Genomic DNA, 24,121 nt, shown 5'->3' on the forward strand with positions numbered 1-24,121 from the left:
AGAGAGTTCCAAGGCCTCACTGAATTAGGGCCTTGGGGAAATATGACACAGATTCTAGAGCTGAGCAACAAGACAAAGCATGTCTAATGAGAAAGTGAGCTCCCCAGAATTGGAGGATTTCAAGCAGAGACCAGGTACCTAGGTGCCAGGGGTGCTATGAAGGTAGAAGACTGGACTAGGTGCCCAGAGTCTCTGTGTGGTGATCAAACTTTTCCAAAGATTGTAGTTCTTGGCACTGACCTGGAGTCCTCAACAGCTTCTGCATCCTTGGTCTCAACTTGGGTCTGGTGTCCTGGTCCCTAGGTGGTGAGCTCCCTGAGCACAGGGCACTGGTCTTGTCCATCATCCTCCCCTAGCACCTGTCTCTGTGCCTTTCACCTTAAGGGTGTTCTACAAGTGTTTCCTAAAGGGGTGGTGGCATGCTGGCTCCTCCAACCCCAGCTGTGAGCTGAAATACTGTCTCAAATCCAAACTGTCTACATGATACTGATAAGAAACAGGATTCGAATCTCAATTTTGCTACCCAAGGATTTTGATGTAAGAGAATGTAAATTTAAAACCAACATTAGGACTGTGAGTTTGAGACTAAAACTCTGGCCTTGCTGTTCCATGGCCTTAGGAGAAGCACAGGCATCAGGACAGATGGAAAGAGAGAGAGCGAGACAGACAGACAGACAAACAGGGTGCTCTGCAAAGCAGCCAGTGGGCAGAGGAGCCTCCATGGAGCTCCTAGAACTTATCTTAGCAATTTTCCAAGTTTCTAGGCAGCCTGACCAAGTAGGAAGAATAATTTGGTCAATTCCATGAAGAGGTTCCCTCTTTTGAAATGTATGATTCTAATCCGCAGCTCTTTCATCAAAGCAAAGGCAGTGAATAACACAGCCCAAACTGATTTTGTTGGTAAACACCACCCAACTGTTTTCTTATTAGTTTACCTTGGCAATACCTCTCTATGATGTAATTATGTGAGGTTTCAGAGCCATATTTACTTCCATCCCACACACACCTTATGTTACCTCATCTTCCACTGCCATATTGAGAGAAAGGAACACTTCTCAGTTCCTGCAGAAACTTGAAGAATCCTATTGGGAGATAAGGCAGACATTGACTCCAAATAGTTGGGTGGTGGTGAAGTGCAAGTATGAGACCAGGGCTTCCGTAGGAGGAGGTCACTTCAGAGGAGGAGGAGAGGGGAAGAGGAAACCCCCAGGCAGCCAGTGACCAGGAAAGCAGTAAAGTGATGGCTAATTATTGTGAAAGAACCAAGTTGGAAACAGTTCACATCAATCCTCAGAGAGGGTTGGACAATTCTGGCCAATTTGGTACACCTGTCAAGGAAAGATGGTGATATGGTTTGGCTCTGTGTCCCCACCCAAATCTCATCTCGAATTGTAATCCCCACTTGTCAAGGGAGGGATCTGGTGGGAGGTGATTGCATCGTGGGAGCAGTTTCTCCCATGTTGCTGTCATGATAGTGAGTGAGTTCTCATGAGATCTGATGGTTTTATAAGGGGCTCTTCCCACTTTACATGCTCTTTTTCTCTCTCCTGCCGCCTTGTGAAGAAGGCGCCTGTTTTCCCTTCTGCCATGATTGTAAGTTTCCTGAGGCTACCCCAGCCATGCAGAACTGTGAATTAATTGAATTGCCTTTGTTTATAAATTACCCAGTCTCAAGTAGTATCTCTAGAGCCGTGTGAAAATCGGCTAATACAGATGGGAAGTCAGGGTCTCTCCTGGGGGACAGAGGAGCGTGCTTGAGACAGAATAGGAAGAAATTCATACAGAATCGAAAGAGTTGCTGACATGCTGCTGCCCAAATACAGCAGCTTCTTCAGACCTCAGGTGTCCCCCAGAGGTGCCATCTTTGAATCTAATGTGTAGATTCTTATTCAGTTGGTCTGGGTAGGGTGTGGGCTTTAGAATTTTAAAGGATCTCCCTGGTGCTTCTAATGCACAGGTAGGGTTGAGAAGCACACTGTTCTCAAAGAGTGGTCCCAGACCAGCAGCATCAGCATCACCTGGGAAATTGGAAGAAATGCAAATTCTAGGGCCCCAACCCAGAATTACTGAATCAGAAACTCTGGCAATGGTGCCCATCAAACTGTGTTGTATTTAACGAGTTCTGCAGGTGATTCCGATATTTGCTGAAGTTGAACTACTGCAATAGAGATGTTTGAATCTCAGGATGCTCCCATCCCTGCCCCTGCTCCCTGCCTTCCTTAGTTCTCCAAGAAATCCTGTCTCTGACTCCCCCATCCAGGCTTGGAACCCTGGAGGCTTCCTCGTAGGGCTGCGTAGAGCAGGTGGGGAGGGCAACTCCACAGCCCTAGTCACCTGTGAGCTGCGTAGACAAGAGAATTTTCCAGCAAGTAGAAGTCAAGTGTCCTGGGGAAGGTCTGATTTGCAGAGTCAGGGTTTAGTTCAATGATTGGGCTTCCTGGACTCCCTCCTCTCCTTGTCCTTCCCAATCAGTTGCCAAGCCCCCAGCTGTTTCATTAAGAAATATCTGAATCCTCCTCCACCGATCACTGTCCATTTTCTCACTAGTCTCATGCTTCAGCCCTACTTCCTAGATTCTGGTAGGGATCTCCCAGTGGGTCTCCCTTGCTGCTGTCTCCCCCCGTCCCAGCCCCCCATCAGCTGTCTTTCTCGACAGCACTTGGCGCCCATCCCTTCCTCTTCCACCCTGCTTCCCATGTGAGCTTGACACATGCACGCTGCCCACCTGTACATGCATGCACACGTGCCTGCTCCACAAGACGCCGCCAGCAAGTCCTGTGGCCTGTCCTGTGGGCAAAGTCCATGATCCTCAGCCTGGTATCCAGAGACCCCCCTGCCGGCCCCTCCCTACCACTTCAACCTTATCTCTCACCATCCTGCTTCATGAATCTTGTGCTCCAGCCAAACTGGTATACTGGTAAAACCCCGATAAGATAAGCAAGTAAAATTAGAGCCCATAAACCCGGAACAGGTACAGGCAGCCACGGGGTGTCCAGAGGACGCAGCTTTAGTAACTTCAAGTGCTCAGGGGTGGGAATGGGTACACTCCAGTCTTTGAGTTAAATAGCATGAAAGTGAGATGATGTGGAGAACTGAACTAATTACTCAAGGACTCAAGAACTCACTGCTCTCTCTGCACCTCTTCTTTTCTTTATGGTATTTCACTCATTATATCCTTCTTAGAAAATCTAGGTTGAGAAATGATTTTATGGTTATTTCAATAAACTGATATATTTTATAGAAAATGAGCCAGGTTCTTGGATTATGGAAACAAACCTTAATTTATGTCAAGTGTTCTTGCAGAAAGAGTGGTGCCACCTACCTTCATAACCTGAAGAGCACCATTGTTACCTGATGGCAGCTACCTAAAACACAGGCAGTAGTACATTCATTCATTTCAGAAACATTTCGTGATCACCTACTGAGTGACAAGCAGGCATTCTCCCAGTCACTGGGGATACATTGTTGAACCAGATATAACTCTTCTTCTCAAAAAGCTTACATCTAGAGTGTTGGTAGAGGCAAGCTCACTGAGTAGGATTGGGGTGCTGTGGCAGGACACGGATCGACAATGGATCATCTCTGGGAGGCCCTGGAGGGTTCCTTGAGGAGGTGGTGGCTACTCTAAGTCCTGAAAATGCACAGAAAGGAGCCTGCCTTGTTAGGAGAGGGTGAAGGTATAGGATGGCACAGGGCCTGTTGTAACTCAGGTGGGTGCAGGTACAAGTCAGACTGGGGTTCAGTACAGAGACCACCAGTACAGACAGGGATGGAACTAGGATCAGTAAAGACAGGGACTTGGCTAAATGTTCAAGGTACGAAGGTGTTGGCCAGGCTGTTCTCTAACTCCTGACCTCAAGTGATCCACCTGCTTTGGCCTCCCAAAGTGCTAGGATTATAGGTATGAGCCACCACGCCCAGCCTCCCTCACTCAGTTCTTATTTCTATACTGCCATTCTAGGTGGAGACTGGTACCATACCACCTGCTGACATATTCCCTTGGAGGCAGCTGCTGCCAAAACTTAGGATTATCTTCTACTTGAGGGTTTACCATTATTGGGCCTGTGCCTGGGTCGCAGTGCCCCCTTTGCAGACAGAGTGAATATTTCTGATTTACATTGTTCATTGGAGTGTGGAGAATTGAGCCTTGATTCAAGTAGAAACCACGTTCTCAGAGGGTCCAGCTGGGCTGGTGAGATGAATACCACACATAGACGGCTCCAATGGCTTCATGGAGCTGGGGGAAGGCTCCTGGTGGCACATGTAGAGCAGACCCCTGGTAGCAACTCAGCCTCCTGGAGAGAGAGTTGGGAATACTGGGTCAGATGCCATCATACCAGCATCTCAGAGGCTAGTCCCTCTCCATCCCTGATCCCTGAACTAGCTACTGGGCCTTGGCTTTTTAGCAGAGGGCTGCAATTGCCACCCTCCAGCCTGTTCTAGTGGCTTGTTTCCTATACAGGAATTGGTGAATTGAGGACATACCCAGAATGGGACCCCACCTGTGGCAGGAATGCTATATGCTTTCCAAACCTCTTTCCTTTTCCTCCTGGGCTGGCTCCATTTCTCAGCCTCCTTTGCAATTAGGGGTGGTCATGTTTCCAAAGAGTGTGTACACCACCTCCAGGCCTGGCCTGTAAAATTCTTCCTCATATCATCTTCTCTGTTTTCCACTTGCCAGCTGGTTGTGGATGATCCAGCAGAGGCATCTGAGGTTCCAGTGGACGACAGGGTTACAAGATGGAAAAAGCCTGAATTCCTGAGTCACTGCATGGAAGGCTGCCTACTGAACACACACATTTGGGCTGTTACATGAGTGACAGACACACTTCTGTAGTGTGAAGCTCTTGAGATTTGGGGGCCCCTCATTACAACACTTATGCTATTCATTCTTTCCCCCAACTCTCTTCTTTTGTTTGTTTGTTTTTTGTTTGAGATGCAGTCTCACTCTGTCGCCCAGGCTGGAGTGCAGTGGCACTATCTTGGCTCACTGCAACCTCCGCCTCCCAGGTTCAAGCGATTCTCCTGCCTCAGCCTCCCTAGTAACTGGGATTACAGGTGCACGCCACCATGCCCGGCTAATTTTTGTATTTTTAGTAGAGATGGGTTTTCACCATGTTGGCCAGGCTGGTCTGAAACTCCTGACCTCAAGTGATCCACCTGCCTTGGCCTCCTAAAGTGCTGGAATTGCAGGTATGAGCCACCACTCTCAGCCTCCCCAACTCAGCTCTTATTTCTATATTGCCATACTAGGTGGAGATTGGGGCCCTACCACCTGCTGACATATTTCCTTGGAGGCATCTGCTGCCAGAACTTCGAATTATCTTCTGCTTGAGAGTTTCTATTATTGGGCCTGTGCCTGGGTCACAGTGCCCCCTTTGCTCTGTAGTGGGACTTCCTGGTCCTGACAACTTGCCTGAAATGCCATTTGTGATCTTGCTGTCAAACTCTGGATTCTAACTTTTGCTTTCTGAGCATGCTGTCTGTCTCCTTATGCCTGCTCCCACTCTCACTCCCAGTGACTAGGAGGTGAAAAATGACTGTTCCAGGCACCAACTTGCCTGAAAGCTCTAAGACTTGCCTTAAGGCAGTCAAGCCGTCTGCTGACTCTCCACTTTTGCAAGGAGAACTACGTCTAGTCATCAACATGTAGCCGCATCCAGCCATGAGGAGGGGCGGGAGAGATTTGACAACATCTCAGGAAGTGCTAACATCTGACAAGCTGAGATCATGGGTGTCATAAATTGATAGAGAGGCTGAAATGAGAAGGAGATAGGATGGGCCATGTGTGGTTAGCAACATCAAGAGCAACTTGTAGTTGACAACCTCATTGCTCATCTTCTGCTGACACATACAGCCAAAGTCTGAATGGTGGCATTGCTTCAACTCCCCTGCTGTGTGATGGGGGCACCTGATTGATGTTGACACGCCAATGTTGGGCTATCATCGGAGGAGGTCTGTATTAATTTTAACAATGAAAATAGACGGGTTACAGTTACCCTAAATAGCATCAAGTCACCCCACTTCATAAAGCCCTTCAATGGCTTTCCTTTCCTTTTGGAAGGAAGTAGTGCATTTTTCACATGGTCCACTGGGTCTTAGATGTCCTGACCCTACCTTATCTCTCCTGTGTAGGCCAGTCCTACCCTTTCTTCTGCTTAATGCCTCCCAGCCATGCTGGTGTTTTCTACATTCTTCATGCGCACCCAGCACAGTGCCAGGCACCCTGTACAAATTCAATAAATAATTCTTGGATTAATGAATAAGAGGTCAATCAGGAGATGGCTGCAATCTAATGAGAAACCATGGAGCTGATATTTGGGTGGGTGTCTCTAAATCTAAGCCCTAAGAAACCTTGCTCGTTCACTGTTCTAGTGTCTTCCCATTGCCTAGAACAGTCTCCCATGCCCAGTAGATGCCAAGGCATTTGTTGAATCAACGAAATGAAGTAGAATGAATGGATAAAAGGAGTAGTGACCAGAATGAGGGAGACTTCATAGGCAGGACCAGCAGGGCTTGCTGACTAACTGGATTTTGAGATGAGGGGGCTGAGAGAAGTCAAGGATGATCCCAAGTTTCTGGCTTGGGGCTGAAGGGAGGAAGGTACAATTTACTGAGACGGGGGAGATGGGATGAGGTTAATGGAGAAAGGAGGCTGCGGCAATGAGTCTAGCTTTAGATTTTTCGAGTCTGTAGCATCTGTAGGCTGGTTGTCAGAGGATGTCCAGTGGGCAGCTGGATATATTGGTCTGAAACTCAGGAATGACAATTGGGCTGGAGAGAATAGATTTGGGAGTGAACAGCCTGTGATGTTAACAAAAGCCAAGTGAGTGGATGAGATTGCAATGTGATAGGTGGTGTGGTTGTACAATGATGTATAAAATATGGTCCCTGCCCTCAAGACTAATACAAAATCAAGATATGACATAGACCTTAAAACTGTTTATGAGCCCATCCATATCTCCATAGCAACCTTGAAGCAGAGCGATAGCTCTGCCCTTATCACAGGCAGGGGAAACACACAGATGGCTGCTGTCTCCCACAAGTCTCCCACTGCAGGAGATGTTTCCTCTTCCCCGTGGGACCCACAATGAGTGGCACCTGCAAATTCCACTCTTCTAGCCAGTCCAAACCCGAGTCTTCTTCCACGTCTCAGCCATGGGGCCGAAGAGAGGGAGGGGGACGTCAGAATCAGCCCTTTCTGTCCAAACCCCCTTTTCTCTAGGTCTTGTCTCTCTACACCCTCCACTTTGCCAAAGCCAGGAAGGAGGTGGCCGTAATGACCACATTGCCACTTTCCCTTGGTCTTTCTGTGGCACGAATGCTGTACGTCGTTTCCTGCTTCCTGCAACTGTCCGCCAGTGGCTTCAGTGGAAACAATCACAGACCTCGTGTATTGAGTGCTCCCTGTGAGCCAGAGCTCCACTAATCAGGCCACACGAGGAATTCATTTTCCTCTCAACCATCCTAGGCAGTGTGGACAGTTATCACCACTTCACAAATGAGAAACCGAGGCTCAGAGAGATCATTTTGGGTTCTAAGATTGTCTAAGCTAGAGTATGGAAGGGGTAGGATTTGAACACAGGTCATTTGAAAACAAAAAGCTGCATCCTTAAGCAGTAAAATAAGGTTCCTCAGCTAATGGTCCTGTTGTCTGCTTGCTCTCTCTTATACTCTTTCTCTCTCTCTCTCTCTGGTTATATCTGTTGAATCTTTTTCCAGGCATCTCTTTGGTATTGCCCTGTAAGGCTGCTCTTCTTGGTGTTGGTTCCCCCACCCTCAACTCCGTGCTTCCCTTCTCAGCACTCTACCTGTTCTCTGTAGCCCACTTTTATCCCTATGGCTTTGCCCCATCCACAAGCAAATGGCTCTCAAAATGAAAATTATTTCCCTACTTCAGATTTTTCTCCTGACCTCTACAGATCTGGCCATCTCCCGAGCATCTTAATCTGTGGGGCCGCAAGAGGCCTCGTGCTCAGCGTGCAGAACACTGAAGCCACGATAGCTTCCTAACACTTGCTTCCTTCCCCGAGTCCCTGTCGTACTGTATGGCACTATCATGGGCTCACTCAACAGAGCCGGACATTCAGGGGTGATCCTTGACGTCCCCCTCTTCTTCATCCCCACACTCAATCAGCAACCAAATACTATGGATTCTGCCTTCCTAGTGGTCTTAAAAACCAGCCCTCTCTTGCTCATTTCCACATCCACTGCCTTATTCAGGCTGTCATCCCCCACCTAGCTGACCCGCAGCCTCCTGGCTGGTCCTCATGTCAGGTAGAAAGCATCCAATCTGCCTCCTGAGTGATATTTCTAGAAGCCAATCTGATCACGTTGCTGCTCAATTTTACCTCCTGCTCTGGCTTTCCCTGACCCTAGCATGAAAGATGAACTTCTTGGTATGGCCCGCAGTGCCTTGCATATCTCCCCGTCCTCCCCACTCACCCCAGTTTCCCATGCCTTTGAGCAAGCGTCAGCCATGCTCCCTCCGACAAGCACATCTATCCTACTCTCTTCTGCTTGGTGAATTCATCTGCACAGTCTAAGCTCAAATGTCATTAGATTCAAACCTTTTGCCGATCTCCTGTCCTCCTGTTTGTGTCCGCTCTGTGCCCTGCATGTATTTGTGTGCCATCATAACTATAAGACGGACGGAACTTAGGTGATTATATGTCTATTTCCTTATCCTGGAAGGTGAGCTCCTTGTTGGAGAGATGTGGGGCTTATACACTGGGATTCTCATCTACTGCCAGGTCCCCAGTGATTATTCAATAAGTGTTTTCTAGAAGAAGGACTGAAGGAACAGAGGAGTCCTCCTAACCTGATCTCCCGCTCTCAGAAATGGAACAGAGTCCCTAAAAGGATCATATTGAAGAGACTGGACTGCATTGGGGGTAGCCAAGGTTTTCATGCTTCCAAAGGGCCCCTAATATCTTTTGTAAGGAGGTGAAGCAGACCCCAAGCTCATACCACCCGTCCTCTTTCTTCCCTCTAGCCACTCTGCACCCTGGAGGTAAACATCAGAATAAACGATATCATAACCGTGGGCTGGCTCGGTGAACTATGAGTATTCTAAACCAAGATGTGATCTTAGATTTAGTGGGAAAAAAACACTGCATGTAAAGCCAAAAGATTCGGGCTTGAGCCTGGCCTCTAGGTTGTGTTACATGTATGACCTCAGGTGGTCGTGGGACATCTCTGAGCTCCGGTTTTATCAACCTGGGAATGAAAAGTATTGGTCACTTACTTCCTGGGGTTGCTCTGAGGCTGAGTAAAGTTAGAGAATTTCTTGGTACTTGTATGGTGCTGAGGAAGCTCCATTGTCCCTTTACCCAGCATCCTTCATGGCAAAGAGAATGTGCCTGCTGACACCTCTTTCAGCCTCTGTTTCAGCCTCTGCCTCAGTCCTTGCCAGAGACGTCAGGCTTAGCACAGAGCAGCTGGGAGCCTTCAGCAGAGAAGGAAGGCACCACTTAGACATCTGCACGGGCAGTTTTTAAACATAGGGAACATGAAGGAAATACCACAGAATTTATGGAGTGAAAGCTTTAAAAAGAAACACAAGTCTGAAGTCAAAACAGTTGACTCAATTCTAGGGGAGATGTCTGCCTGGAAGTAGGAGTGGGGGAAAAAGACTTGGAGTGAGTGGAGACAGGGTAAGCAAAGCTCTGTGGGGAGCCCTACAAAGTGGGGCAAGTGGGCACCTCCCCGCATGGCTCGAGACGGAAAGTCGGTCCTGCCTGTACACAGGGTAGCACTTACCAGCATTTTGGAAACACACATCTTTGGGCCCAGCTGTTCCACTTTTAAGAATGTCGCTTGAGATAGCCTCATGCAAGGGCACAATAATATATACAAGGATGTCCACTGAAGCCTCATTAGAAGTTGAGAAAACTTGGAAACAACTCGAATGCTGTTTAGCAGAGGATAGGCTAAACAAATTACAACACGTCTGTACAGTGGACTGAAGCAGCAAACGGCGTTATGTCTCTAAATATGAACAGGAAACATATTCATTATACAATAAGTGAGAAAGACCAGTTGCAGGATGGCACAGGTATGATGATCTTGTTTCCATAAAAACTAAAAATATACATATGCCTGTGCATGCATGGAAAAATACAAGAGGATAGGAATTAATTTGTGACCAGAGTTTGTCAGTGGGAGTTGGGATTATAGGATATTTTCTGTACAGTTGTGTAGAGTTGATTTTTTCTTTTCTTTCTTTTTCTTTTCCTTTTCTTTTTTTTTTTTTTTTTTGAGACAGAGTCTTGCCGTATCATCCAGGCTGAAGTGCAATGGCGTGATCTTGGCTCACTGCACCCTCTGCCTCCTGGGTTCAAATGATTCTCCTGCCTCAGCCTCCAAAGTAGCTGGGATTACAGGCACCTGCCATCATGCCTGGCAAATTTTTGTATTTTTAGTAGAGACAGGGTTTTGCCATGTTGGTCAGCTGGTCTTGAACTCCTAACCTCTGGTGATCCACCTGCCTCGGCCTCCCAAAATGCTGCGATTACAGACATGAGCCACTGCGCCCAGCCTGAGTTGATTTTTTTTTAATAGACATATTAGTAAAAGAAAAATATACAGAAAATAGTGAAATTACGGGAAATATGGCAACTGTCTGACCTTCATCCTAGAAAAACCCTGATCAGTGTCCCTGTATTGCATCACAGGTACCAAAATTGTAATACATCCTTCATCATGCTACTGTCCCAGTAAAAACCCCGAGCATCTCTCATTTCTTCCCTTCCACTCCATCCTGGCTAATTTACTGTCCACAATTCACAGAGTATTGTCTCCACTCTGCGCAGCCACAGAATGGGTGTGGTAACGTCTCCATGGCATTTATGGTTTCTACAAATCACAAATCACATATGAAGGGCTCCAAGAATATTAGAGGAATGAGCCAGTTAACTCAGCGCCCATGGGGGAGCTGGCAACTCCCCAAGAAAGCTGGACATCTCCAAGCTGGCCACCAACATTCTATAGCCTCTCCATGAGCAGGGTGGGAGCTGTGCTGGGTGCACAGTGCCATGTCCACAGGTTGATGTGAGGGGCACGTTCTAAATCAAGTGCCTGAGAAGGGCTTCGGAGACCTAGATCCTATCCCTAAACAACTATGGGACAGTGTACCGGTCACTTTCCCTTTCTGGGTTTCTGTTTTCACCTCTGTAAAAAAGAGTAAGGCTTGGTCAGTGTTTCTCAAAGCACTCTCCTTGGAAAACTACATCTGGGATATGTTATAAATGTCCCTGAAGAGGCCTTTGTGGTAAAATACACTTGAGAAATGCAGCTCTCTGCATCGTGCTCTTGGAGATTTCCAATGCATATTAGCAGGTTAGAGTCTCTGAGGTCTGGCAGTAAATAAACTTACTTATCAATGCTTATACCAGCAATTCTCATGTTTATTTCACCTTGGCATCCTTTAAGATATTTTTTTTCTGAGCATCTTGGTTATACATACACTGAGTTAAGTGTTATCCACAGTCACTGCTCGCTCCCTGAATCCGTGACCACGATGAGTCACCCTCCATGCCACCCCCTCCATGCTGCCGGGCCATCATCCTGCAGTGTTCCTGTGGCTGAACATGGATTATTTCAGGTGACCCCTGGAAAAAACGAAGCTCTGTTTTGTGAGAGAGAATGGGTTAGCCTCTCAGTACAGATCCCGATGGAATGGGATGAAGGAGAGGTAGCCTACTGAAAAAGGAGAGGGGTGGGGAGTCTAAAAGGGCTTGAAATGCAGCCAGGAGCAGCCAGATGGGGTGGTGCAGTTGGGGGACACTAAGTAGGAGTGACATGGAGGGACACTAATAAGCAGGGAACTACAGAGGAATAATTTTCATAATACGTCTGTTAAAAACAGGGAGGCAGGGCAAATGGTCAGAAGGAAAGGAAGGTTCTTGGCACCTGTGCGGTTCACTATCTTATTTGTGGCTGTAACTCATCTCTTCCCCTGGATTTAAATACCAAATTTATGTTGATGGCTTCCACGTTTGAATATAATCTTTCGAGGAAGAGCATGGGCTTTAGAGTCATACAGCCCATGCCTCAGTTTCTTCCTCTGTAACTTGGGGCTAACCATAAGATTTACCCGCTAGGTGTGTGTATGAGGATTAAATGAGTTGACACATAGGAAAGCTCCTAGAATAACTAGTGTGTAGTAAGCACTCAAATGACATGATCATGATCAATTGTTATTATTCATATTTTCAGCCATCAGTGCTCTCTGGCTCGACACCTCCACTCAGATGTCTCCAGGGCATCTCAGGCTTAACAAAACTGAATCAGAATTCTTGATTTTCCCAACAATACCTCACCTTTCCCAGACTCCCTGTTTCAATGAATGGCACCTGATATACCTGTAGCTCAAGTTTGGAACCTGAGGGTCAGGTGTGGTCCTCCTTTCCCCTTCCCTTTCATATGCACCCCACCAGGAACTTCTGCAGAGCATGAACCCACCCCCAAAATATATTTCAAGTCCATCTACTTCTTCCCACCTCCCTCTCTCCTCTAGCCAAGCATCCCTTCTCTCTGGGTGAAGGCAGCAGCCTTCTGTGTGCCCTCCCTGTCTTTTCTCTCACTCCTTTCCAGGGAATCTGCACCTGTGACCACAGCCTTCTGTAACAAATGTACCTGTGACCATCCTAAGACCTGTGGGGGCACAGAAAAGGAAGCCCATAGCTACCCCTGCTGGCTTTTGGTGTCCATTTGCATGAAGTGTCTTTTTCCACCCCTTTACTTTAAGTTTACATGAGTCCTTATGTGTCAGGTGAGTCTCCTGAAGGCAGCAGATAGTTAGTTGGTGAGTTCTTATCCATTCTGCAGTTCTGTATCTTTTAAGTGCAGCATTTAGGCCATTTACATTCAGTGTTAATATTGAAATGTGAGGTACCATTGCATTCATCGGGCTCTTTGTTGCCTGTGTACTTCTTTGTTTGTTTTTTGCTTTTGTTTTTTAACTTGTATTTTTGTTTTATAGGTCCTGTGTGATTTATGCTTTAAAGAGGTTCTGTTTTGATGTGTTTCCAGGATTTGTTTCAAGATTTAGAACTCCTTTTACCAGTTCTTGTAGTGGTGGCTTGGTAATGACGAATTCTCTCAGGATTTGTTTGTCTGAAAATGACTGTATCTTTCCTTCATATATGGTGCTTAGTTTCACTGGATACAAAATTCTTGGCTGATAATTGGTTTGTTGAGGAGCCGGAAGACAGGGCCCCAATCCCTTCCAGCTTGTAGGTTTTCTGCTGAGAAATCTGCTGTTCATCTGATTGGTTTTCCTTTACAGGTTACCTGGTTCTTCTGTCTCACAGCTCTTAAGATTCTTTCCTTTGTCTCAACTCTGGATAACCTGATGACAATGTGCTGAGGCAAAGATCTTTTTACAATGAATTTCCCATGTGTTCTTTGTACTTCTTGTATTTGGATGTCTAGGTCTCTAGATGGCTGCAGAAGTTTTCCTTGATTCTTCCCCCAAATATGTTTTCCAAGCTTTTAGAATTCTCTTCTTCCTCAGGAACACCAATTATTCTTAGGTTTGGTCATTTAACATAATCCCAGACTTCTTGGAGGCTTTGTTCATATTTTCTTATTCTTTTTTCTTTGTCTTTGTTGAATTGGGTTAATTTGAAGACCTTGTCTTTGAGCTCTGATTTTCTTTCTTCTACTTGTTCAATTCTATTGCTGAGACTTTCCAGAGCATTTCACATTTCTAAAAGTGTGTCCAAAGTTTCCTGAATTTTCAATTATTTTTTCTTTAAGCTATTTCATTGAATATTTCTCCCATTCAATATTGGGGGATTGTGTTGGGAGAGGAGGGTCTCCCTTTCCCACTTCCGCAAATGGGGCACTCACAGTATTTGGAGTGTCTTCTGGGTCCTGCAGGAGCAGTCTGGTTCCTTCAGAGAGTCTGTGGGTCCTTTTGGGATTGCTGGTTTTTTCTTGCAGTTGATCTGGAGCTAAAATTCACCATGGAAGCCTCCAGATGCTGCTCTGTCTGAAGCTGCAATCTAGTCCTGCCACCCAGCCACTATGATCCCCTCCATCTCTCTGTCCACTTTAGTCAGATAAGCTCAAAGCTAGAACAAAGGACCCATATATGAGCCTACGGATCTGCCTTCAAACACTTGAGAAGCCCTCCAACTCACCATGAGAACACTGACCCCAATCGGGATCTTTGCTTTGCTCCAACAGCCAGACACTCAGACAGGTCCTCAGACCCAGCAACTAATGGACTTGGTGGGATGGTTGTCCTCAAAGCAGCCAGCATTTTGATCAGGCTGGCGTCTGGTCCTGTATTTTTCTGGGATATTCAGAATCTCTTGACATGTATCTTCACTTAATTGTGAATTTAAAAAATTATAGATGGATGTAGATATAGATATAGATATAGACATAGAGATAGATATAGATAGACATTTTGGAGAAGAGTCTCTCTTTGAAGACTTCCTCTCAGAGTACAAGTCCGTGGTTACAACCATTTTGTTTCTCAGCAAACATGGGGAAGTTTGCTTTTCTTCTCTGAGGAAGTTAATATAAATGTTTATTGACAGTGCAGTCATCAAGGAATAAAGTTGCTGATTCATTCCTTTACACTGAAACCCTTTGTTGTGCCCTCCTCTTCCTTCCTCTTTATAGGGAGACACTCTGAGAAAGAGCACATTGTGGGGGCCCACTCCATGTGATGTTTGCTTGGTTGCCTGTTCCCTTTTCTACCTGCAGAGCACGGTTCCCATAAGGGCGGCGAGATCAGCCTCCTGTCTCATCTGGAAGACCACCACTCTGGGGTCTCAGAGGAATGATGGAAGCCTTGGGGTTTCTAAAATTGGAAGTGAATGGCCCCATGGTGACGGTGGCCCTGTCAGTGGCTCTCTTGGCCCTCCTGAAATGGTAAGTGCAGCCAGCCCTAGGGACTGTGACAGCGTCAGCCGTCTCACCCTGGAGCCTTGCTGGTGCCATGGCGGGGTATGTGGGAGTGTGTTTTTCTTCTTTTCTAATCTAGCGGGAGTGAGTATTAACACAGCTTCAGAATTAAAAGCAAACAGCCAGGTTAATCTTTTGCTAAAATGCATGAGATTGAAGTGTCAGGAAAGGCTGGTGATTCAGTGACTGAGAACGCTACACATAATTAAGTTTGAAAGAGATGGAAAAAGAAACAAATTGGAAAGGCATTAGGTTTGGGTAGAAGCATTTCCTTGAACCCCGTCATATCTCCTCACCTCATTTTTCTAAAATCCTCTGTCCTTGTTGGATTTACAGTGAATTCAGCCTCTTGGTTCATATTACATTCAAAACAAAACAAGACGTAGGAGCTGTTTGGCAAATGTGGGCCTCTTTGCAGGAAGTCATTGAGGGGGATTTCTGTAGGGTTAAGGACAAAGTGGTAGATCTAATTTCTCATAGTTGATAGAGGGAGATGGATTCTGATGAACATAGTGTGTGCAGCTCCTACAAAATTTGAGACCCTGAAAGGATCTCAAACTTGAACTCCGAGTTGCTCCCCTGTGGTTTTGTTAATTCAACAGCAAATTTTCCTAAGGCTGACTCTGGTGTCTGTAGGTCGAAGGCCTCATAATATGCTACATTTATGCATATTCGCCCTGTCAGTTAAACTTATTAGAGTTACCCATTCAATCAAAAGCACCTGGATTTAGATGGCTCTGGCTTTTGAGGGCAAAGTGAGTGGAAAAAATAATGGAGGACTGGAGTCCGAACAGAATTTTAATTTATGTTTTCAGTAGTAATAAAGCCTTCTCTAGATTAATAACTGGGAAAGCACTTTGAAAAGCATCAAGCATTATGCAAATGTGAGGTATTATTCTTTTGGAATTTGCATAGCTGAGAGTGGAATTCACGTTTGATGTTCTATGATGATGAAATTACTTCTTGGAAATTGGCTCTGAAACCCAGCCTCAGTCCCAGTGCTGTTTTTCTTTTTAACTGGTTTAATTTTTTTTTTGAACTTTTTTATCTCATTGTAGCTTACCTTGGATTGAAACTGGCCACATGTAAAACCAAGAGCAAATGGTAGCTCCTTCCCTACCCCCAGCCCCCAATAATCCATCTCAATGTGTTTTTATGCTCCGGGAAGCCCGAAGCACAGTGTCTGACATGCAGAAAGTGCTTAGTCGATGTCAGCCACTATAATTAACCATCTATCATCTATGTAACCTAAAAGAAAATAAGTCTTTAGTGGTTTAGGTTTATTTTTAATTTCTTACTAATGTGCTTATTCATATTAATCTCATCAATAGCTATGCTCTGACTGTGGTTCTCAAAGCGGACACTTTTTTACACTTTTGTTTCAGTCTTTGTTGTGTCTGAGCCTCCAGCTCAGTGCCTGCCATGTAGGAACACCACACCATTCAGCAGGGCAGCTATGTGTTTGCTGTCTATTCTTGGGCCATATTAATAACCTGGTTCAAAGATGCAGAGATTAAGATAAATGTACCAAGCAGAAGTGGTAAACAGGAAGTGAGAGCTGACTTCTATTTGTTATTGCAAAAATATTTATTAACCTGTTAATGTGTGCCCAGTCTGGAGGAGGCCCTGGTACAAGGTCAGGAAGCAGGAGATCTGGAGAAGGTGCCCAAGGCAGGGGAGACACAGAGGTTCTGGGGGTGAGCTGGATGTCTAGAGAGGATACTGCAGGAGGAGCAGAGGCAGCAGGAGAGAGGTCACGGCCCTGGCTCTGGTGCTTTTGGGTCCATCCCTTGATTCAGTGCAAGGGGAACCACCCTTGGGCTTTCAACCCTTCTGTTCCGGGTGAGACTCTAGTCAGCCACTAAGCAACAGCCACCAGCTTGAATGAGGCAAGGCCCCCTTCCTGCTTCATTGTCTTGAAAGGATATGTGTGGAAGAGACAGGGGTGCTTTTCCTCCAGTGAGAGGATTCACAGGCAAGGAAAGATGGAGGTGTAGAGACACTTGCAGGAGAAACTGGCAGGGGGAGTGGATTAAACATTGCAGCACATTAGTCTTTGCTTTAAGTGTTACATGTGCCATCCAGCCAGGTGAGATGGCAGCAGAGAACCTAAACCCTGAGAAGGTGAAATCAAATGGGCTGGGCGCGGTGGCTCATGCCTATAATCCCAGCACTTTGGGAGGCCAAGGCAGACAGATCACTTGAGGTCAGAAGTTCGAGACCAGCCTGGCCAACATGGTGAAACTCCATCTCTACTAAAAATACAAAAATTAGCTGGGCATGGCAGCAGGTGTCTGTAATCCCAGCTACTTGGGAGGCTGAGGCAGGAGAATCGCTTCAACCTGGGAGGCACAGGCTGCAGTGATCTGAGATCATGCCACTTCCCTCCAGCCTGGGTGACAAAGAAAGACTCTGTTTCAAACAAAACAAAACAAAACAAAACAGAAGGATGGGAGGATGGAGGGAATCATGGTGGACAGGAGGCAGGACTAGACTGCAGCTCCAGACAAAGCAGCATCTGGAAGCTTCCATGGTGAATTTTAGCTCCAGATCAACTGCAAGAATAAATCAGCAATTCTGAGGGGACCCACAGACCCTCTGAAGGAAGCGGATTGCTCCTGTAGGGCCCAGAAGACACCCCAAATACTGTGAGTGCCCCAACTGCGGAAGTGGGAAAGGGAGACCCTCCTCTCCCAACACACTCCCCCAATTTGAGTGGGAGAAATATTCAATGAAATAGATAGCTTAAAGAAAAAACAATAGAAAATTCAGGAAACTTTGGACACACTTTTAGAAATGTGAAATGCTCTGGAAAGTCTCAGCAATAGAACAAGTAGAAGAAGGAAATTCAGAGCTCAAAGACAAGGTCTTTGAATTAACTGAATCCAACAAAGACAAAGAAAAAAAATAAAAAAATATGAACAAAGCCTCCAAGAAGTCTGGGATTATGTTAAATGACCAAACCTAAGAATAATTGGTGTTCCTGAGGAAGAAGAGAATTCTAAAAGCTTGCAAAACATATTTGGGGGAATAATCAAGGAAAAGTTCCCCAGTCTAGCTAGAGACCTAGACATCCAAATACAAGAAGCACAAAGAACACGTGGGAAATTCATCGCAAAAAGATCTTTGCCTAGGCACATTGTCATCAGGTTATCCAGAGTTGAGACAAAGGAAAGAATCTTAAGAGTTGTGAGACAGAAGAACCAGGTAACCTATAAAGGAAAACCTATCAGATGAACTGAAGATTTCTCAGCTGAAACCCTACAAGCTAGAAGGGATTGGGGCCCTGTCTTCCAGCTTCTCAAACAAATCAATTATCAGCCAAGAATGTTGTATCCAGTGAAACTAAGCATCATGTATGAAGGAAAGATACAGTCGTTTTCAGACAAACAAATGCTGAGAGAATTGCCATTACTAGGCCACCACTACAAGAACTGGTAAAAGGAGCTCCAAATCTTGAAACAAATCCTGGAAACACATCAAAACAGAACCTCTTTAAAGCATAAATCACACAGGACCCATAAAACAAAAATACGAGCTAAAAAGCAAAAGCAAAAAACAACAACAACAAAAAAAACCAAAGTACAGAGGCAACAAAGAGCCCAATGAATGCAATGGTACCTCACATTTCAATACTAACACTGAATGTAAATGGCCTAAATGCTCCACTTAAAAGATACAGAACTGCAGAATGGATAAGAACTCACCAACCAACTATCTGCTGCCTTCAGGAGACTCACCTAACACATAAGGACTCACATAAACTTAAAGGGGTAGAAAAAGGCATTTCATGCAAATGGACACCAAAAGCGAGTAGAGCAACGGTAGCTATTCTCATATCAGACAAAACAAATCGTAAAGCAACAGCAGTTAAAAGAGACAAAGAGGGGCCGGGCGTGGTGGCTCATGCCTGTAATCTCAGCACTTTGGATCACAAGGTCAGGAGTTCGTGACCAGTGTGGCCAACACAGTGAAACCCCGTCTCTACTAAAAATACAAAAAAAAAAAAAAAAAAAAAAAAAATTAGAGGGGTGTGGTGGTAGGTGCCTGTAGTCCCAGCTACTTGGGAGGCTGAGGCAGGCGAATCACTTAAATCTGGGAGGTGGAGGTTGCAGTGAGCTGAGATTGCACCACTGCACTCTAGCCTGTGTGACACAGCAAGACTCTTTCTCAAAAAAATAAAAAAAAGAGAGAGACAAAGAGGGACATTATAGAATGGTAAAAGGCCTTGTCCAACAGTAAAATATCACAGTCTTAAACATATATGCACCTAAAACTGGAGCTTCCAAATTTACAAAACAATTAAAATAGGCCTAAGAAATGTGGTAGACAGCAACACAATAATAGTGGCAGATTTCAATATTCCACCGACAGCACCAGACAGGTTAGCAAGACAGAAAGTCAGCAAAGAAACAATGGATTTAAACTATACCTTGGAACAAATGGACCTAACAGATATATACAGAACATTTCATCCAATAACCGCAGAATACACATTCTATTCAACATCATATGGAACTTTCTCCAAGATCGACCATATGATAGGCCATAAAACAAGCCTCAATAAATTTAAGAAAATTGAAATTGTATCAAGCACTCTCTCAGACCACAACAGAATAAAACTGGAAATCATCTCCAAAAGGAACTTTCAAAACCATGCAAACACATGGAAATTGTTAAATAACCTGCTTCTGAATGAGCATTGGGTAAAAAACAAAATCAAGATGGAAATTAAAAAATTCTTCTAACTGAATGACAATAATGACAAAACCTATCAAAACCTCTGGGATATAGCTAAGGCAGTGCTAAGAGGAAAGTTCATAGCCCTAAACACCTACATCAAAAAGTCTGAAAGAGCACAAACGGACAATCTAAGGTCACACCTCAAGGAACTAGAGAAATAGAAACAAACTGAACCCAAACCCAGTAGAAGAAAGGAAATAACCAAGATCAGAGCAGAACTAAATGAAATTGAAACACATACACACACACAAAATAAAAGATAAATTAAACAAAAAACTGGTTCTTTGAAAAGATAAATAAAATTGATAGACCATTAGCAAGATTAACCAAGAAAGGAAGAGAGAAAACCCAAATAACGTCACTGAGAAATGCAACAGGAGGTATTACAACTGACACCACTAAAATACAAAAGATCATTCAAGGCTACTATGAACACCTTTACGCACATAAACTAAAAAACCTAGTTGAGATGGATAAATTCCTGGAAAAATACAATCCTCCTAGCTTAAATCAGGAAGCATTAGATACCCTGAACAGACCAATACAAGCAGTGAGATTGAAATGGTAATTAAAAAATTACCAACAAAAAAAAGTCCAGGACCATAAGGATTCACAGCAGAATTTACCAGACATTCAAAGAAGAATTGGTACCAATACTTTTGACACTATTCCACAAGACAGAGAAAGAAGGAACCCTCCCTAACTCATTCTATGAAGCCAGTATCACCCCAATACCAAAACTAGGAAAGGACACAACCAAAAAAGAAAACTACAGACCAATATCCTTGATGAACATAGATACTAAAATTCTTTTTTTTTTTTTTTTTCTGAGACAGAGTCTTGCTCTGTCGCCCAGGCTGGAGTGCAGTGGCGCGATCTCGGCTCACTGCAAGCTCTGCCTCCCGGGTTCATGCCATTCTCCTGCCTCAGCCTCCGGAGTAGCTGGCACTACAGGTGCCCGCCACCACGCTGGCTAATTTTTTGTATTTTTTTTAGTAGAGATGGGGTTTCACCATGTTAGCCAGGATTATCTTGATCTCCTGACCTCGTGGTCCACCCACCTCGGCCTCCCAAAGTGCTGGGATTTCAGGCGTGAGCCAACACGCCTGGCCAATACTAAAATTCTTAATGAAATACTAGCTAACCAAATCCAACAACATATCAAAAAGATAATCCACCATGATCAAGTTGGTTTCATAACAGAGATGAAGGGATGGTTTAACATACAAAAGTCAATAAATGTGATACGCCACATAAACAAAATTAAAAGCAAAAATCATGTGATAATAGATGCAGAAAAAGCATTTGACAAAATCTGGCATCCCTTTATGATTAAAATTCTTAGCAAAGTCAGCATACAAGGGACATACCTTAATGTAATAAAAGCCATCTATCACAAACCCACAGCCAACCTAATACTGAATGGGGAAAAGTTGAAAGCATTCCCTCTGAGAATTGGAACAAGACAAGGATGTCCACTCTCACCACTCCTCTTCAACATAGTACTGGAAGTCCTAGCCAGAGCAATCAGACAAGAGAAAGAAATAAAGGGCATCTGAATTGCTAAAGAGGAAGTCAAACTGTCACTGTTTGCTGACAATACAATCGTTTACCTTGAAAACCCTCAGGCCTCCTCCAGAAAGCTCCTAGAACTGATAAAAGAATTCAGTAGTTTCCAGATGCAAGATTAACATCCACACATCAGTAGCTCTCCTATACACCAACAGTGACCAAGCAGAGAATCAAATCAAGAAGTCAACCCCTTTTACAATAGCTGCAAAAATAAATAAATAAATAAATAAATAAATAAATAAATAAATAAATAAATAAAATACTTAGGAACATACCTAACCAAAGAGTTGAAAAGCCTCTACAGGGAAAACTACAAAATGCTGCTGAAAGAAATCATAGATGACACAAACAAATGGAAACACATTCCATGTTCATGGATGAGTAGAATCAGTATTGTGAAAATGATCATACTGCCAAAAGCAATCTACAAATTCAATGCAGTCTGCATCAAAATACCACCATCATTCTTCACAGAATTAGAAAAAACAATTCTAAAATTCATACAGAACTGAAAAAGAGCCTGCATAGCTAAAGCAAGACTAAGCAAAAAGAACAAATCTGGAGGCCTCACATTACCTTATTTCAAACTATACTATAAGCCCATCATCACCCAAACAGCATGGTACTGGTATAAAAATAGGCACATAGACCAATGGAACCAAATAGAGAACCACAAATAAACCCAAATACTTAGTCAACTGATCTTCAACAAAGCAAACAAAAACATAAAGTGAGGAAAGGACACCTTTATCAACAAATGGTACTGGGATAATTGGCTAGCCACATGTAGGAGAATGAAACTGGATTCTCATTTCTCACTTTATTCAAAAATCAACCCAAGATGAGTTAAAGACTTAAACCTAAGACCTGAAACTATACAAATTCTAGGTATAACACTGTAACAACCCTTCTAGACATTGGCTTAGGCAAGGATTTCATGACCAAAAACCCGAAAGCAAATGCAATAAAAACAAAGATAAAGAGCCGGGACCTAATTAAACTAAAGAGCTTCTGCATAGCAAAAGGAACAGTCAGCAGAGTAAACAGACAACCCAGAGTGGGAAGAAATCTTCACAATCTATACATCTGACCAAGGACTCACATTCAGACTCTACAATGAACTCAAACAAATCAGTAAGAAAAAAACAATCCCATCAAAAAGTGGGCTAAGAACATGAATAGACAGTTCTCAAAAGAAGATATATAAATGACCAACAAACATGAAAAAATGCTCAACAACACTAACGACCAGGGAAATGCAAATCAAAACCACAATGCAATACCACATTACTTCTGCAAGAATGGCCATAATCAAAAAATAAGAAAACAGTAGATGTTGGCGAGGATGTGGTGATCAGGGAACACTTCCACCCTGCTGGTGGGGATGTAAACTAGTACAGCCACTATGGAAAACAGTGTAGGGATTCCCTAAAGAACCAAAAGTAGAACTACCTACCATTTGATCCAGCAATTCCGCTACTGGGTATCTACCCAAAGGAAAAGAAGTCTTTATTTGAAAAAGATACTTGAATATGCATGTTCATAGCAGCACAATCCACAATTGCAAAATCATGGAACCAACCCAAATGCCCATCAATCAACAAGTGGATAAAGAAACTGTGGTATATGTATATGATGGAATACTATGCAGCCATAAAAAGGAACGACTTAACAGCATTTGCAGTGACCTGGATGAGATTGGAGACTATTATTCTAAGTGAAATAACTCAGGAATGGAAAACCAAACACCGTATGTTCTCACTGATACGTGGGATCTAAGCTATGAGGATCCAAAGGCATAAGAATGATACAATGGACTTTGGGGACTTGGAGGGAAGTATGAGAGGTAGGCAAGGGATAAAAGATTGCAAATATGGTGCAGTGTGTACTATTTGGGTGATGGGTGCACCAAAATCTCAGAAATCACCACTAAAGAACTTACTCATGTAACCAAATGCCACCTGTGCCCCAACAACTTATGGAAAAATAAAAAAACAAAAACAAAACAAAACAAAAAAGCAAAAGGCACACCAAGGTTGCTTCTTGTGCTCTCAACCAGCCTGTGAGTTCTCTAAGGGTGAGGGCCAGGTCTCCTATCTCATTACAGTTCTGGAATCTTCTGCCAATGGCAGGGATGCTCTGCTAGCATGTGGTTGAAGGTGGTAAAGTCAAGAAGTCCACAACCATCAGCCCCGCCCCAGGACTCACTGTGGGTCTCCTGCTCCTTCAGCGGGCCCCCTGTCGCTCTCTCCCCCACAAACCCTAAGGCCTCCTCCAGAAAGCTCCTAGAACTGATAAAAGAATTCAGCAGTTTCTTTTATCCTGGGCTGGGGTCAGAGCGACGCTGTCTGGGTGCTGTGAATGGTCCTTTGTTGCTGCATGAGGCCTCCTCTTTCCTTCAACTCCAAGCTCAGGGGTGCTTCCTCAGGGAAGTGTTTTCTGTTTCCAAAGGCACTGAGGAGCCCCCTCTCAGCATTGCTTTTATCCCATCTCTGTCCCTCACAATGCCTGGCACATAGTTGGTGCCTAACAAATGCTGACTGAAGGCTAATTCCAACCTCTAAGCTCTGCCTGGTGCTTTCTTCCTGTGGTTCTTCTCTTGGCCTTCACAGTTCCATACAGATCTAAATTCTCTTGCCCATGTGACCCACTCCCTTTCCTGAAAGCTTGCTGTGTTTTCAGTTTGTGTCAATTTGCCATGCACTGTTCCAGTTGTTGAAGATGGACTGTTTTTGTATCCTTTCTTATCCTGTAGAGCAGACACCATGCCATGTACTTAATGCACACTTATTAATTATTAGGTGTATGCGTGAATTTGGAAAAAAGACAAAAAAAATCTTTCATTTAAAAAGACACTGTTTTAAACTAGGCACAGTACACT

The 24,121-nt window shown here is 44.3% G+C and overlaps 1 protein-coding gene across 9 annotated transcripts in view, besides 1 other annotated feature; it reads left to right on the forward strand.

Moving 5' to 3' along the window:
• The window catches only part of TBXAS1 (thromboxane A synthase 1), a 242,052-nt gene that overhangs the window by 36,346 nt on the left and 181,585 nt on the right, over positions 1-24,121 (forward strand). For 7 of the 9 annotated variants that reach the window (NM_001314028.4, NM_001166253.4, NM_001061.7 and 4 more), the window contains exon 1: positions 14,677-14,892. The exons of 1 other annotated variant lie outside the window; for it this stretch is intronic. In NM_001314028.4, the coding sequence (NP_001300957.1) occupies positions 14,890-14,892 (3 nt within the window). In that variant the 5' untranslated portion in view covers positions 14,677-14,889. Of the gene's footprint in view, positions 1-14,676; positions 14,893-24,121 lie in introns of those variants that run through there. One more of the 9 variants, NM_001130966.5, reaches the window with a different exon arrangement.
• Positions 14,350-15,549: an enhancer, noted in NCBI's record as "CDK7 strongly-dependent group 2 enhancer chr7:139528736-139529935 (GRCh37/hg19 assembly coordinates)". NCBI's record gives its function as "activates an origin of replication core promoter dependent on BRD2, BRD4, P300/CBP, MED14 and CDK7 cofactors, with strong dependence on CDK7, by STARR-seq in HCT116 cells {active_cell/tissue: HCT116}" and the evidence as "EXISTENCE:reporter gene assay evidence [ECO:0000049][PMID:35650434]".

The sequence above is a fragment of the Homo sapiens genome, chromosome 7 (genome assembly GCF_000001405.40).
Source record: "Homo sapiens chromosome 7, GRCh38.p14 Primary Assembly".
Classification (NCBI taxonomy): Eukaryota; Metazoa; Chordata; class Mammalia; order Primates; family Hominidae; genus Homo; species Homo sapiens.